Genomic DNA, 17,813 nt, shown 5'->3' on the forward strand with positions numbered 1-17,813 from the left:
TTTTTAAATACATTGTCGATCACCAAAAGGAGCATAAGGGGTATATTGATTTGTAGCAGATGTATTAATAGCCCAGCCCCTATTCCTTACTTGTAGCTGCTGGGAAGAAAAGGAATCTTAACACTCTACAAGGTCTCATCTCCAGAACTTGCACCTGTTTCTAGCTGAGGACTTTCTCTAGCAGCACGGGAGCTTGTTACTGGGCATGAAGTGGGAAGAAAAGGTGAGGGTAACTAAGAAGAATCTCCCTGGATTCAGTGATGTAATTCTGAGGCATGTTCCTCATAGCTTCCCAGAGAATTAAGCCCAGATACCTAATAATAATGGCTACATCAGGGGTCTTGTTAGTTCTCGTTCTACACTGTCTACGGGTTATTACTATCAGTTTTCTGTCTTTTTTTTAGCAGTACGACGTGACATCTGTAAAATCTATATTTCCTCTCTTTCTCCTTCCAGCCTTAGTGAAACTGTGCTGTAGAATTAAAGCAAAATTATGTTGTGCCCCAGAGCCCCTTATGTCTTGAACTGCTCTCCATATTTCTTCTTCCCAATCTCAATGTGGGGAAGTAAGACCAATTTCAATGTAGTCTTACTGCGAAGATCATGTTCCAGACCAGCAGCATTAGTGTCACCCAAGAACTTACTACAAATGAAGAATCTCAGGCCTGCTCAATCAGAATGTGCAGCTTCAGCGAGCCCCCACCCCACACCCCACCCCCTACCCCCGCTGATTTATGCGGGGAAGAGAAGTTCTTCTCTATGTGGATTGAACATGACATTAAACGTGTTTTGCCAAATTACCTGTCCCAGATTTTTCTCCATCCTTTATTTGTGTGGCTATATTCGAAACAGAATCTTTCTCGTCACTTGTAGCCTGAATGGAATTTGAAAGAAAATAATAAATAAATAAATGAAGTATGTTTCAAAGACTATATATTTAAAAGTTCACAATGTAAATGAGAGTTTAATTACCTTCAAGGCTGGTGGTTTCTGAGAAGACACTGAAAAACAACAGGGATACATAATCACTCATATATAAATATGATAAAGTTATCCATACATTCACACAGTGTTAGCATCAAGCTGTAACCTTCTGCCTGTACTAGTGTAGGCTCTGATGTCTTCTACTTTGTGTCTTGGGACTGGAACATGACAGAAATACACTGATAAAAGGGAATACTGGCTCCATGAAATATACCCTTACAATTTCAAACATGATATGATTTGTCATATGTCGAAAACTAAAAACCGTGTCAATATCAATGTGGATATGTCGATGATGAGGACAAACATGACTTAAAATCAGAGGAGCAACTCATACACCTGAGAATCTATGTCAAAGCAGGTGCTACATGATCCCACATGTCTTTCACGCAAGAAATCAAAAGGATTTACACCATTATACTACAAACATTCATCATGCTCTTTAACTTGCCCAATAACTGAGAAGGCACACAATTACGATGACACTTCAGTTGAACGTACACTTCACATCACTTCAGTGGAAGTGTCCTAAATTGATCATCTTGGATATCTGTTTGCTGATACATTCATTATCTAGTAGATAACATTCATTATCTCTCACACCCATCTGGTGTAATAATGTGCCTAAGTTTCTTTTATCCACTAGTTTAGCCTCCTGAAAGTTTCTTCATCCACTCATGGCACCAAAGGATAATACATTAGCCTCAAGAAAAATATCATCAATTATCAATTTTGACATACTTCTACAAAGTAAAACTGCTACAAGCATTAGATATTAATAAGTTTTTCATTCAGAAATCACTCCAATGTTCATTGAAAATGATCACTTTAGGAGTTCGTTAGAATTCTACACAATTTTTGTTTCTAAAATAGTCTTGTTTGGGAATATCACACTATTCTCTATCGAAGTTTCATTAAATAGCTATTTTATCCAAGAGGTAGCTCCTTGAACAAGGAAGCCAATGTATTCATATTCAAGTTTGTCTCATTTCTATTACTAAAATCAACAAAACATGTATCTCTGATGCCTCCTAGTAACAAAGAAGAGTAATGAGTCATTGTGTTTTATCCCAATTCTAGCATTGTTTCCTGCTTCCAGTAGCTCCTGGAGCTGCCAAAATCAAATATTTTTTAGGCAAATATTCCAAATGCATCTGAAGTGAGTTCACTCAGGTTTCCTCAGCAGAAACCCCAAAATTATATAAATAACTTCTTTTCCCTCCTTCCTGCCTCACGATCCGTCTTCCTTGGGAAAATAATTGCTACATCAGGGGTCTCCTTAGTTCTCATTCTACAGTGTCTATGGGTTATTACAATCAGTTTTCTGTCTTTTTTTAGCAGTACGATGTGACGTCTGTAAAATCTATACTTCCTCTCTTTCTCCTTCCACTCTTAGTGAAACCATGCTGTAGAGTTAAAGCAAAATTATGCTTTTCCCTGAGCCCCTTATGTCTTGAACTGCTCTCCATATTTCTTCTTCCCAATTTCAACGTGGGGAAGTCTATAATCTTACTGCAAAGATCATGTTCCAGACAAGCAGCATTAACGTCACCCAAGAACTTATTACAGATGAAGAATCTCAGGCCTGCTGAATCAGAACGTGCAGCTTCGAGGAGCCACACCCCCGCCCCGGCTGATTTATTCGGGGAAGAGAAGTTCTTTTCTATTTTGACTGAACATGACATTAAATGTGTTTTGCAAAATTACCTGTCCCAGATTGTTGTCCATCCTTTATTTCTGTGGCTATATTCGAAACAGAATCTTTCTCGTCACTGGTAGCCTGAATGGGGTTTGAAGCAAAGTAATCGATACATGAAGTAGGTTTCATAGACTATACAGTTAATAGTTCAACATATAAATGAGACTTTAATTACCTTCTCAGCTGGTTGTTTCTGAGAAGACACTGAAAAGCAAAAGGGATAATCACTCATATGTACATATGATAAATTTATCCATACATTCATGCAGTGTTAGCATCAAGCTGGTATCTTCTTGCCTGTACTAGTGTAGGCTTTGATGTTTTCTACTTTTTGTCTGGAGACTGGAACACGACAGAAATACACTGAGAAAAAAGGAATACAGGCTTCACAAAATATACCCTTACAATTTCAAACATGGTATGATTTGTGATACGTCTAAAACTAAAATAAAACCGTGTCAGTATCAATGTGGATATGCCGAGTGATGAGGACAAATCAGAGGAGTAACTCACACACCTGAGAATCAATGTCAAAGCAGGTGGTACATGATCCCGCATGTCTTTCTTGCAAGAAATCAGAAGGATTTACACCATTATACTACAAACATTCGTCATGCTCTTTAACTTGCCCAATAACTGAGAAGGCACACAATTACGATGACACTTCAGTTGAACATACAGTTCACGTCTCTTCAGTGGAAGTGTCCTAAATTGATCACCTTGGATATCTGTTTGCTGATACCTAGCAGATAATATTCATTATCTCTCACACCCATGTGGTGTAATAATTTGCTTAAGTTTCTTGTATCCACTAGTTTGGCATTCTGAAAGTTTCTTCATCCACTCATGGCACCAAAGGATAATATATCAGCCTCAAGAAAAATATCAATTATCAATTTTGGCATACTTCTACAAAGTAAAACTGCTACAAGCATTAGATATTAATGAGTTTTACATTCAGAAATCACTCCAATATTCATTGAAGATGATCACTTTAGGAGTTAATTAGAATTCAACATAATTTTTGTTTCTAAAATAGCCTTCTTCGGAGTATCATGTTATTCTCCAAAGAAGTTTCATTAAACAGCTATTTTATCCAAGAGGTAGCTCCTTGAACAAGGAAGCCAATCTATTCATATTCAAGTTTATCTCATTTTTTTAACTAAAATCAACAAAACATGTATCTCTGATGCCTAATAGTAACAAAAAAGAGTAATGAGTCAGTGTGCTTTATCCCAATTCTAGCATTGTTTCCCACTTCCAGTAGTTCCTGGAGCTGCCAAAATCAAATATTTTTTATGCAAATATTCCAAATGCATCTAAAGTGAGTTCACTCAGGTTTCCTCAGCAGAAACCCCAAAATTATGTAAATGACTTCCTCTTTTCCCACCTTCCTGCCTCATAATCCGTCTTCCTTGGGAAAATAATGCCGTAAACCCGGGAGGTGGAGTTTGCAGTGAGCCGAGATCCCGCCACTGCACTCAAGCCTGGGTGACAGAGCGAGACTCCGTCTCAAAAAACAAAAGAAAAGAAAAGGAAAGAAAAGAAAAGAAAATGTATCATTCACTTCTTGCAGGAAGTGCTCTCAATCATTAGTTTAGATATCTACTTGGAGAAAAATTGTTTCTAAAAATACTCATGTTATCCACAGTCATGAAGACTTCTGATATTTTCAACTTCTGGATTCTCAACTTAAGTTCTCTTGCCATCTTTTCATTCACTTATGCAAAAAAAGTATGCATTACACATCAAATAACTAATGAGTACTCAGATTTTCATTTACAAAATGTAACCAAAAATCTCTGAATCATCATTGACTTTTTTTTCAAAATGATCAACTTTCTTTTTTTTTTTTTTTTTTTTGACATGGAGTCTTGCTCTGTTGCCTAGGCTGGAGTGCAGTGCGCACAATCTCGGCTCACAGCAACCTCCGCCACCGGGGTTCAAGTGATTCTCCTGCCTCAGGCTCCCTAGTAGCTGGGACTATAGGCACACGCCACCATGCCTGGCTAATTTTTTGTATTTTTAGTAGAGATGGTGTTTCACCATGTTAGCCAGGATGGTCTCCATCTCCTGACCTTGTGATCCTCCCACCTCAGCCTCCCAAAGTGCTGGGATTACAGCCGTGAGCCACCGTGCTTGGCTTAATCAACTTTTACATGTCAAAATATTTGCCATGATTATGGACAGTTACACTTTTAGTACTCAAGAAATAAATTTCTCGTTTGTTTTTTTCTAGTCAGTTTGATATGCAATAGCATAGCAGCCTCTGAGGTACTTTTATACAATGGCTATTTCATCAAAAACAGCACTGTTTTTAAAGAAAACTGCCAATGTTTTGATATCCAAGTGCATCCCAGTTCACTAACAAACATGAATGAAGCACATATCATTGATGTGTAACCCCTATAGAGAGAAGAAATGAGTTCCTGTGGTTTCCTGTCGTTCTTCTATCCTCTGCTTCCAGTAAGCTCCAAAGCAGCAATAATTTAGTCTTCTCTTTGAGTGGGAATATACTGAGTCTACATAAAGTGAATTCCCTCGAGTTTCCTCATCAGAAACCTCCGAATTACCTAGCCAGCTGCTTTCTTAATTTACACCATCCCACCTCACATTTTTTTTTGCAAATATACTAATGTCCATTTCTCAACAATGAATATTATATTTTGATCTGCAAGTTTAAGTGTTCACCAAAGTTTTAAGAAAAAGAATGTTTAAATTACATTATATTTACTATTAAAATTTAATAAATTATATTTACAATTTAATTAAAATTAGGCTTATAATTTAATGTAATTTAACAATTAATTTTAAATTTATTTTAAATTATATTTAAATTAGTTATATTTATTTTCAAAAATTATATTATTAAAGCATAGAAAATTATTCAGCTATATTCACTGCCTCACCACCTTTGTTTTTTTGTACACAAAAAATAACATTATCATTATTTGATTGCTCTCATGAAGCACTTTTTATAATACCAATACCATTTGCTTTTTGTCCAGTTGCTGGTAGTGCTTTTCATTCCTATTTAAAAAAAAAAAAAGAAATCTTCAGAAAATGTTATATTTACTACTCAGTCAGTAATTCAAGAAACATTTTCTGTGTCTATAAATTCATAAGGTCTATACTGGAAAATCTGATAATATGAATAAAATACTAATTTTATTTATTTATCAAGTGAAAAAAGAAATTTATAAAAACAAACAAAAGCAGAAAGACACAATTCATTATTTCTACAATTCAAGTCAATAAAAACAGTGATAGCACAAAGGTAATAACACTTATTTCTACTTGGGAAGCTTCTGAGACACTGCAAATTCAGGGTTCTATTTTTAAAATAGACAAGTGAAGAGTAAGAGTGTGAAGTGTTTCTAGTGAGGGCAGCATGTGCAAAAAAATAAAGCATGAAACAGCATAGCCAATAAGAAATACCACAATAACGTGGTAAAACTTGGACACAGACCGAGAAAGTGGAGTGGAGAGATAAAATGGGAGAAACAGGCCAAACCGCAAAATAAGTGTTATGCTAGAATGTAAATGTTTCTTTCGTGTAATGAGGGTCCAGCCATAAGCAGATGAGTTAGATAAAAGTAAACATGTTTAAGAAAGGTCACCCTGAAAGACATATATAGATAGATAAACATGGGGAGAAGAGAGAAACAAAAACAAACATTCCGAAAGTATAGGGCAGACAGTGTATTACAGTAATAAGATATGAGAAATGGTTAAAGGTAGAAAATACAAAATTTGGTGAGTCACTGGATTGGCAATGTGAGGGAAACCTGGAGTGCAGTTTTTCTGCTTCAATGTTTCATTGCTACTTTCTTGGTGTTATTTACTAAAATTGGGAAGCCAGATGACAGAGTAGATTACAAAGAGTCAGGAAAGAATCTGGAAGGCAGTTTGAGACCTATTAAACTGGAGGCACAAAGGGGACTTAGAAGACTGATCTGGGTAAATACATTTGGAGTAGAAATAGATGACCTTACTCAAAAAAAAACCATACATTGTTGAGAAGGTCAACATTTGTAAAATATACTAAACTGGTAGGATTCAATAATTTAAACCTATGAAGAACCCTGAAGTTTTGAAAATAAAAAGAAAACAAAACATGGGATTCAAAATTTCAATTATATATTTCTATACTGGATTAAAAGATATAAAATATATTTTCTTAATGTATGCAGATATTTATTTCTGGAATATTATGGTCATCTGCATTTTTGAACTTAATGAAAACAGTTATCTAAACCAGTAATTCAAGGTATCCTAAGAAAGCTCATTTTTAAAAAATCATCTTAAAAGTTTAACTTGCACAAATGTTTATTCTATTATAGAATTATAAGGCATTTTAAGTGCTACTAAAATATAAGAGAGAAATGTAAAACCTATTTTAAAGTTCATATGGTTTTCTGATTCTCCTGTAAATTATATACTAATAGCTCTAATTGCCTACTTATGCCATAAAGATAATAGTTAAAAATCAGAGAAAGGATCAAGTAAAATAATCATATGACTATGCAAGCTGAAGATTTACATGTCTTCAAATACACTATGCCTGTCAATCAGGACCCAATACTGACATGAAGAGAGAAGAAATTTATTTTAAACATCAAGTCAAAAGGATTCCTGAGTTTTAGAGCTGAATCAATTTATATGCAAGGTATAACAACTATAAATACTAAAGTTAATAATGCTTCCAGAGAATAATACAAAATGTCCCAACTGTAGGAGATAGTTTTAAAAGTAAAAAGTAATATTCCAGAGATAATTCTGTGTACTCTGTTGGCAATATTTCTTTCCTTACAATTCTATCAAAATAGGTACTTTGTTTAGAAAACAATCATGAGTGTTGATTGCATTCATCACATGTATGTTCTTAAGTACAGACGTTATCAGCACAAGGTAAGTCAGACTAGCTCCAGAAATAAGTAATAATTTATTTCTTTAAGAGGGTTCCAGGTTAAAAATATATTTTTTCTCATTCAATGAATATAAATTAGAAACCTCATTTAAAATTAACCAGAAATGGCTAGGCGTGGTGGCTCACACCTGTAATCCCAGCACTTTGGGAGGCCGAGGCAGGCAGATCACGAGGTCAGGAGATCGAGACCATCCTGGCTAACACAGTGAAACCCCGTCTCTACTAAAAATATTTTAAAAAATTAGCCGGGCGTGATGGCGGGTGCCTATAGTCCCAGCTACTCGTGAGGCTGAGGCAGGAGAATGGCATGAACCCGGGAGGTGGACCTTGCAGTGAGCCGAGATCATCCACCGCCCTCCAGCCTGGGCGACAGAGCGAGACTCCCTCTCAAAAAAAAAAAAATTAACCAGAAATTTTAATTTTTATTAATTTATGTATTAATTAATTTTTATTATTTTTTATTATTTAATTACTTATTTATTTTCTCTCTTATTATCAAAAAAAGGCTAAAACAGCTGCCAAGATTATGTAAAAGTGAAATAAATTAGTTAAGCAACTTAGGAATATACCAAATATTACTTTAAAAAACTTTTAACAAGAGTCAAAAATTAATGATTCATTCAAAATCTGATATAGCCTAAAACACATTTTACTTTGCATTATCTATGAACACGGCATTCACTAGATAAAATATGAGACACCACTTTACTGAAATTTTAAAAAGTGAGGATTAAATTTTCTTTCCATTTAGAATTTTTAAATTAATAAATAGATGCATATATTTTCAGTGTACGTGTGATGATTTGATCCATCTATATAATCTAATGAGGGTAACAGAGAGACACATTACCTTAAATATGTATGTTTTATTTAAACTAGAAATATTCAAGTTATTCTCTCCTGGCTGTTTTTAAATGTAAAACAGAATGTTAAATATAGTCACCCATAAATTTTCTTCCAATCCTTTATTAAAATCACCCGTAAGTCACTCAGAAGAATCTGAGCATTTTTTTAATTACTTGGCTTTCTTTTCCTAATCTATATTTAAAATAATTCTATAATATGATATGGAGACATTCTACTGTCATTTAAATTCACCGTTTTTGAGGTGTTTTATACTAATCTTTGTCATCTTGACACTCTTATTCAACTCTGTATTCTTACTTCTTTCCCCTCCTCACCTTTGTATTTGTGGAGCTGTTCTTTCAGGTTGCTTTCTACTTCTTTCCTTCCCTAATGGCAAACCTAACAATCATTTACTCCCACGACCTTTTAGGAATCCTAGTCCCATGCGTATATTTCCCTTGTTGTTACACTTCTTTTCTATTATTACCTGGAGAACTTCCATTCCTTTATAGGATCCTTGTCATCGTTATAAAGACAGGGAGATGGCAAGTGAATAAAGCATGGGAAAAATATTTTCCAAATAAAACAATTTACCATTGTAAAACTAGAGATCATTAACAGATAAGAGTGAGTTGGTGAACAGGACTGGACTCTGATTATTCTATGTTGGCTTTTAACCATATCTTCATTTACCTTATCAACATTTTGGTCTTCAAACAAGGTTTCATTTTCTGTTTTTTCAATGCCACATGCAGCATCTACTACAGTAAAAACAAAGTCAAGAGTAGATGAAATGCATGTAATTAAGAATCAATAAATAAGAACCGGGTGTGGGGGCTCACAACTTTTGATCCCAGCACTTTGGGGGGCCGACGCAGGCAGATCATACGAGGTCAGGTGTTCAAGACCAGCCTGGCCAACATGGTGAAATTCCATCTCTACCAAAAGTACAAAAATAGCCAGGTGTGGTGGTGCACACCTGTAATCCCAGCTACTCGGGAGGCTGAGGCAGGAGAATCACTTGAACCCAGGAGGTGGAAGTTGCAGTGAGCCAAGATCATGCCACTGCACTCCAGCCTGGGCAACAGTGAGTAACACTCTGTCTACAAAAAATAAGAAAGAAAAAGAAAAAAAAAAGAATCAGTAGATAATACAATAGTCAGGTTTCAAATAGCTTACACTTTTCTGCAGATTGTTGAGAAATAGTCCTCTGTTCTTAAAGTATGGTTCTGAAATGCTCTAGAAGAAAGACAATAGGTTTAAGAATAACATGCAGCAAGTTAAAATAATGATAATTGCCACCATTACTACACGATCTAACACAAAAAGGATAGACTTTGAAGTCACTCATATGTAGATCCAAACCTCAAGTCTGCCATTTACTTATTTACATATTCACATGAGATGATGATTATGATTGGTGATACAGATATTCTCAAAATGTTACTCCTTTCAACCTCAGTTGATTATTATACAAATACTATGATATCTATCAGTTTCTTTTATTAACCACAACAAACTGGGACAAAAATTTACTCATATGTAATTTAGAGTAATACTGAACAAAACTAACAATAAAAAGTCAATTAATCACTTTAGTTTTCAAAATATTTATGCATGATATATATTTGTGTGAATTACTTTCTGTGGGAAAAAATGTGAGAATGTAGTTTTTAGTAGTACTATATTTAAATGGGCTATCATCGCAATCGGTATAAGTTGCTTCTATTCTGTGTGTCAAAAGCTAAAAGCAAATTATTGTATAACTTCAGCTCCTTCCAAAAAAGACAGAACAAAGCAACCATCCACCTTATGGAGCAATGATTCACGAATGAAGGCCACACATAGCTACTAAATAGAAAGCTGTAACTAAGTATCCTGACAACAGAAACAGAGGTGAAACAAAAGAATAGACACTAAAGACATGTGGTCTGCAAGGAAGAAGTTAGACTGAGGTAAATCATTCTTAAACAAAGGGGAAGGAGGGAGAAACAAACAAAAAAAGAGACATGACCAGTCAATCAAATATGAGCTTAAAAGAAAAGCTTGTGTTCATAATATATGCCTAATAATGCTGGTTAGCATTTACTCAACAATTTGTTTTGTGTAAATACTTATGTAATAAAAAGTTTAGTTTGTTTACTATAAAATAACACATCCCAAGAGTTAAACATGATCATTCACCTGAAAGCTGAAACATTCTTACTACAAAGAGAGAGAGAGAGAGAGAGAGAGAGAGAGAGAGAGACAGAGAGAGGAAAAAAAAACACAATAGAATTCCAGCAACTTAACACCTGGAGAAAGAATTTTTATTCAGAATTCAAAAGAGTAATGTATGTCCTGAAAAATATGTATTTAATAGAACATGGTTGGGGCTTTGAAAATTTAATCTAAAATCCTAATCTAAGCTTCCAGTTGGAAGATATTAGAAGACATGCTGTATCCACCTTTCCTATTTCCTTTCCATCTTTTCCAATTTTCATTTTATTCTATGACATATTTTCTCAGCATAACTCACCTCAACTTATAGATTCTCAACATTAGAAGAAAAGATAAATTCAGAACATTCAAGACATTTAATAGATTTAATTATTAGATATCTTATGCATATTATGTTACCTGTAACATTCCATTAAAAAAATGCCCATTTCCCTGTTTGTTGATTCACATTAAAAACTATTAAAATGTTTCTTACATGCAAGACCTTATTCTGGGTACTCAAGATACATACAAATAGGTTTTCTAGCTTCAAGTGGCTCATAGTAATGCAGGAGCTTTACAATTATTTTTTCAATAACTAAGCACAAAAGCCTCTGAAATTTGAAATTTAGAATGAGATAGAAAGACCCTGAGTGGATTTTTTTTTAATTACAATGCAAAAACCTTGTGAAATTAAAGTCTGACCACAGAAATATGAAGAGTCTCTGCTTATCAAACAGGTTGTTATTTTAAACAAAATGCATATTCTTAGATTAGATAAAGATTTTACAGTATACTCTTAATAAAAAAGACTTGGAAAACACAGTGTAAACCCTCTCTAATACAGGTGTGAGAACAGAATTTAAATTTCTAATATTCCACAACTTTTTTAAATTAGAGATAAGCTCTTGCTATATTGCCAAGCTTGGTCTTAAACTCCTGGGATCAAGAAATTCTCCTGGCTTGATCTCTTGAATAGGTGGGACTACAGGCACATGGTACCATGTCTAGTTAAATTTCCACAATTTCTAATATTATTTTAGTCTAATTATATAGAACCAAGAATAAAAATAAAGAAATAGCTCTCTGCAAAAATACTGTATGATGTTAAAATAGGTGTACAAGAAATAAAAAGAAACTATATGCTATGTGTACACATGATTCCCATAATAAATCATCTGATGTAACAAACATTCATTTAAACAGAGGTATTATTAGTCATACTCATATGATATACAACTCAAAGTAAAAACACTTACTCAGATAAGCCTAGACCAAAATTTGTATCTCCTCTGTTGTGGGAAAGCGTTCCCAAACAACATTTTTCTGTCACTATGTATTTTCCAACAATTTTTTTTCAGATCACACCTCTCAAAGTATTTATCAACTATTTCTTATTTACAAAGTAAAAAAATTAAAATTAACCCCTCCTATTTCTTTAAAATAGTTATCTCTAATAAAAGTTTTAATACTAACATAAAACAATGATAGGTAGACAATTGCTAAGTTTTAGAAGAAAATAATACAAAAAATGAGATTCAGAGTGAGAAAATTAATTTCACAAGAGAGTACTCTACCTCAGATTCCAAAGCAAACTTATCCTTTGTCACAGGCTGTGCAACATTATCCAGTAGGTAGCGACACCTACAGAACAAAAAGATATGACAAAAATGAGCACGTTCATTTCTTAAAACAAAAACCATCAGTCTATACATGCATGTCCCCTCCAAAAAAAATTGGTAAAACAAAGTCTGAGGAAGGTCAGTTATCCTTACATTAAATAATATTTCTTGGTATAATTAAGATATGGCTTCTGTATTAGAAAACATTTCAGTTACCTATTTCTGCCTCCACCTCTCCCAACCTATGAAATATCCAGTGCAGACTCACCCTTAAACCCGTAACAAATAGTGACAGGCATTATAACAGCATGGCCAGACAATAATTTGTCTTTATAAATTATCTACCCTAAAGACTAAACTGAAAATCCAATTAATATCTGACACAACTTTTGTTACTGAACTGCAGTAAACCTGATAACCTAAAACAAGGTAGAAAAGGCACTGTCTCTTCTGCATTATCTATTTCTGATTCAAAGACTAATCTGTGTCACGGGAAAAGGGGAGTCTTGGATCTTCAGCATGTAAGCTACTTAGATTGCCCATCGATTCTCTTTACTCTAGAACTCTACAGGGAGCCCCCTGAAACACTGCAAATGTTTGAAAGCTGAGTGTAAAAAAAGTCAAAGTACAAATGTACTTTGGGAATATTCTTCACAGAAGATTAAAACATTAAAAATTATAAAATCCAATTAATGTCATTATATAGATCCTGCCTTATTCAGGTCTACAAAAACCAGCAAGCTTAAGAACCTTCATAGACACTCAGATACTCAAGAGACAGACTGCTGGAAAAGTCTCCCTCCTGAGTACTTACAGCTTAATTTCATTCATCACTATCTAAATATCTTCCTTCCTATGGGCTCCCCCTTCTGGATCCCTCTTCTGCAGGGATCCATGGCAATCTCCAATCTACATCTTCAAATTTGTCTGTCCTCTGCAAATTCCATTCTTATCCACTTTCATTGGGTTCAACAGCTCATTATTCCATTCTCATCCTTTTCCACTGTGTTCACTAGAGCCACTCCCTCTTTCTAAAACTAAAATCACTCAATGACAGAATGATGTAAAAGAAGACTGGGTTTTGAACTAGAATTATTAGATATGTCATGCATATTATGTTACCTGTAACATTCCATTATAAAAAAAACCCATTTCCTTGTTTGTTGATTTACATGAAAAACTACTAAAATGCTTCTTACATGCAAGACCTTATTCTGTGTATTCCAGGATACATACAAATAGGTTTTCTAGTTTCAAGTGGCTCGTAGTAATGCAGGAGCTTTACAATTATTTTTTCAATAACTAAGCACAAAAGCCTCTGAAATTTGAAATTTAGAATGAGATACAAAGACCCTGAGTGGATTCCTTTTAATTAAAATGCAAAAACCTTGTGAAATTAAAGTCTGACCATAGGAATATGAAGAGTATCTGTTTATCAAACAGGTTATTTTAAACAAAATGCATATTTTTCAATTAAATAAAGAGTTTAAAGTATACTCTAAATAAAAAAGGCTTGGAAAACACTGTGTAAACCTTCTCTAATACAGATTTGAGAACAGAATTTAAATTTCTAAACTTCCACGACTTTTTGAAATTAGAGATAAGCTCTTGTTATATTGCCAAGCTTGGTCTTAAACTCCTGGGCTCAAGAAATTCTCCTGGCTTCATCTCTTGAATAGGTGGGACTACATGGACATGATACCATGTCTAGTTAAATTTCCACAATTTCTAATATTATTTTAGTCTAATTATAGAGCCACGAATAAAAATAAGGAAATAGCTCTCTGCAAAAATAGTGTATGATATCAAAATATGTGTACAAGAAATAAAAAAAACCACATGCTATGTGTAACAGAGTGATTCCATGATTTCTATGATAAGTCATCTGATGTATTAAAGATTCATTTAAACAGAGGTATTATTAGTCACACTCATATGATATACAACTCAAAGTAAAAACACTCAAATAAGCCTAGACCAAAATTTGTATCTCCTCTATTGTGGGAAAGCGTTCCCGAACACCATTTTTCTGTCACTGTGTATTTTCCAGCAATTTTTTTTTTCAGATCACACCTCTCAAAGAATTTATCAACTATTTATTATTTGCCAAAGTAAAAAAAAATTAAAATTAACCCCTCCCATTTCTTTAAAATGGTTATCTCTAATAAAAGTTGTAATACTAACATAAAACAATGATAGGTAGACAACTGCTAAGTTTTAGAAGAAAATAATATAAAAAATGAGATTCAGAGTGAGAAAATTAATTTCACAAGAGAGTACTCTACCTCAGATTCCAAAGCAAACTCATCCTCTGTCACAGGCTGTGCAACAGCATCCGGTCTGTAGCGACTCCTACAGAGCAAAAAGATACAACAAAAATGAGCACGTTCATTTCTTAAAAGAAAACAAAAACCATCAGTTTATACATGCATGTCCCCTCCAAAAGAAATGGTAAAACAAAGTCTGAGGAAACTCAGTTATCTGCATATTAAATAATATTTCTTGGTATAATTAAGATATGGCTTCCATTTTAGAAAACATTTCAGTTACCTATTTCTGCCTCCACCTCTCCCAACCTATGAAATATCCAGTGCAGACTCACCCTTAAACCCGTAACAAATAGTGACAGGCATTATAACGGCACGGCCAGACAATAATTTGTCCTTATAAATTATCTACCCTAAAGGCTAAACTGAAAATCCAGTTGATATCTGACACAACTTTTGTTACTGAACTGGAGTAAACCTGATAACCTAAAACAAGGTAGAAAAGGCACTGTCTCTTCTGCATTATCTATTTCTGATTCAAAGACTAATCTGTGTCACGGGAAAATGGGAGTCTTGGATCTTCAGCATGCAAGCTACTTAAAGAGGGCCCATTGATTCTCTTCACCCTAGAACACTACAGGGAGCCCCTTGAAACACCGCAAATGTTTGAAAGCTGAGTGTGCAAAAGTCAAAGTACAAATGCATATGTTGTTAGGTTGTTATTGGGAATATTCTTCACAGAAGATTAAAACATTAAAAATTTTAAAATCCAATTATTGTCATTATATAGATCCTGCCTTATTCAAATCCACAAAAACCAGTAAGCTTAAGAACCTTCATAGACACTCAGATACCCAAGAGAGAGACTGCTGGAAAAGTCTCCCTCCTAAGTACTTGTAGTTTCATTTCATTCATCACTATCTAAATATTTTCCTTCCTATGGGCTCCCACTTCTGGATCCCTCTTCTGCAGGGATCTGTGGCAATCTCCAATCTACATCTTCAGCCTAGGAAAGCCCAGATTCCTCAAAAGACGGGCTAACTTAATTGAGAGTAGGATCTCTCTATTCCTCTGCTTCTGGAAAGTAAGTTAGTCTCAGTCATCCACCCCAAGCATATGCATGTTACCAACTACCCAAATGAAGCTTCATTGCCGTTTTGCCGGCCAATCCTACATTTGCCCTACCCTACATGTACATGAGAGAATTGAGAAAAGAGTCAGAAAAAAAGAGACATCCACTCTGGGTCATAGATCTATCTACTTAAGCAATCTCCAGCTCCCTAGTCCTTGAGGGATTCTAAGTCCTCTGTAAGCTGGGATGGAAGAGGATGACACCACATTCCTATCTGCTCCAGAGACTCTTTCCAGTGGCTCAAATTCTTTTAACATTTTTCAATAAAACCTTGAAGTTTGTCAGTTCCTCCAGTTAAACAAACAAAAAGACAGCAACCTCTTCAGAACTCCTTGAATGCCGTATTCTAATATGCCTTTCTTGATAGCTCCCAACATCCTGTGTTTTCAATTCCCTTATCTTTATCAAACTTGCATTAAACCAAATATTCAGATTTTTTCCTAAAACCTTCATTTCTATTCAACTAAGAGTTTGTTTCTCTTCAAATTTGGCTGTCCCCTGCAAATTCCATTCTTATCCACTTTCATTGGGTTCAACAGCTCATTCCATTCTCATCCTCTTCCACTGTGTTCACTAGAGCCACTCCCTCTTCCTAAAACTAAAATCTCTCAATGACAGAATGATGTAAAAGAAGACTGGGTTTTGAACTAAGAAACCTGAGTGCAATTCTCATTTCTCTGATTTACTGTATCCAAATAATTTTCTCTCTTTAAGTTTCAGGTTCTCCACCTGAACAACCACTTCATCAGGATGTTAAGCAAGGATTCCAGTACTAGAGGATATTTTGTTTAGTCTCTAGGATTTCTTAACATTATGAAATTCTATGCACCTCTGATTGTGTCTGTAAGAAAATGGGGAATATTTAGCTGCCATACATGAAAACTATAAAAGAATATCTTAAACCCTAAGAAAAGCAGTAGAGAAAGTGAAAAGAAATCAAGAAAATACTAAAATGTCATAGAAGGAAAAAAGAAGAATCCAGAAAATAAGAAAAAGCTACAGCGAACTAGGCAGGGTACTCAAAGAGAAAACCTAACTGGGCAGGCAGTAAGTAGAGAAATGAATTAGAAATATCCTTTTAATATATGCTAAATATAGTTAACATAACATGGTCTATATTTAGATAATCTCCATGCACAGTAAGGTAATATTTTTCAAGGACTGGACTGGTCTTGCTTATGAAAACTTAGGGTCCTGTTGACACAGGTAACTGATATCTGCCTTTAAAATTTTGATGGTTAAAAAAAAATGTAATATGGTTACCACTGCCATTTCCAAAATACTTGGACAAACTTTTGGAGTATCCATGCTTCTAAGGAACACTCTAAAGAGAGTTAATATATAACAAAATGTGACTTTCTGAATTGATCTGAGTTAAACCAGTACCGTGATCACATTGCTGCATAGGTCTGTATCCATCTATGCTTAGGGGCAAATGAAGTGATTTGAGAGCCAGGCAGGATGATGGCCAAATCTTGGGTTGGCTACCTGTTAACTGTGGAATCATGAGCCAATATTTCAACCTCTTTAAAGCAGAGTTCCCTAATTAGTAAAAAAGCAATAATAGCACAAATAGTTTGTAAAGCTGTGTGGAGATGACATGACATGATAAATATTAAGCATGTAATATGGTGTCTAGCACAGAGTAGAACACTAAATGGATACTAGTTTCTATTCTCTCTATTCACTAAGTTAACATATCACTTTAAAAAATCTATGAAATCATACCTGTTTAAACACTGTTCAACAGCAGGAAGCACTATTAAACAAAAAGTAAAATGCATTTTAAATCAATAGGAACCTATAAAATATTAAAAACATAAAAGAGCACAGTGACTTGTTCCTATAATCTCAGCTACTCAAAAGGTTCAGGCAGAAGTATCACTTGAGAAGCCCAGGTGTTTCAGACCAGCTTGGGCAACACAGAAACACTCTATCTTTATTTTTAAAAAGTTAAAAAAATTTAAAAAAAAAATCATGTAGGCAGGGCTCGGTGGGTCACGCCTGTAATCCCAGCACTTTGTGAGGCCGAGGTGGGTGGATCACTTGAGGTCAGGAGTTTGAGACCAACCTGGCCAACATGGTGAAAGCCGGTCTCTAGTAAAAATACAAAAATTACCAGGTTGGTGGTGCA

The 17,813-nt window shown here is 34.7% G+C and overlaps 2 long non-coding RNA genes across 2 annotated transcripts; both read right to left on the minus strand.

Moving 5' to 3' along the window:
- Window positions 1–796: 796 nt before the first annotated feature.
- Window positions 797–2,755, minus strand: LOC107984855 (uncharacterized). The gene is made up of 3 exons (XR_001752131.1): window positions 2,692–2,755; window positions 973–1,001; window positions 797–874 (listed from the first exon to the last, which is right to left on the minus strand). It is a non-coding gene; the product is annotated as an uncharacterized LOC107984855 (long non-coding RNA).
- Window positions 2,756–9,161: 6,406 nt separating this feature from the next.
- Window positions 9,162–14,634, minus strand: LOC107984083 (uncharacterized). Its single transcript, XR_001752132.1, has 4 exons — window positions 14,566–14,634; window positions 12,236–12,302; window positions 9,639–9,698; window positions 9,162–9,220 (listed from the first exon to the last, which is right to left on the minus strand). It is a non-coding gene; the product is annotated as an uncharacterized LOC107984083 (long non-coding RNA).
- Window positions 14,635–17,813: the final 3,179 nt, after the last annotated feature.

The sequence above is a fragment of the Homo sapiens genome, chromosome 16, assembly GCF_000001405.40.
Source record: "Homo sapiens chromosome 16, GRCh38.p14 Primary Assembly".
In the NCBI taxonomy this organism is placed as follows: domain Eukaryota; kingdom Metazoa; phylum Chordata; class Mammalia; order Primates; family Hominidae; genus Homo; species Homo sapiens.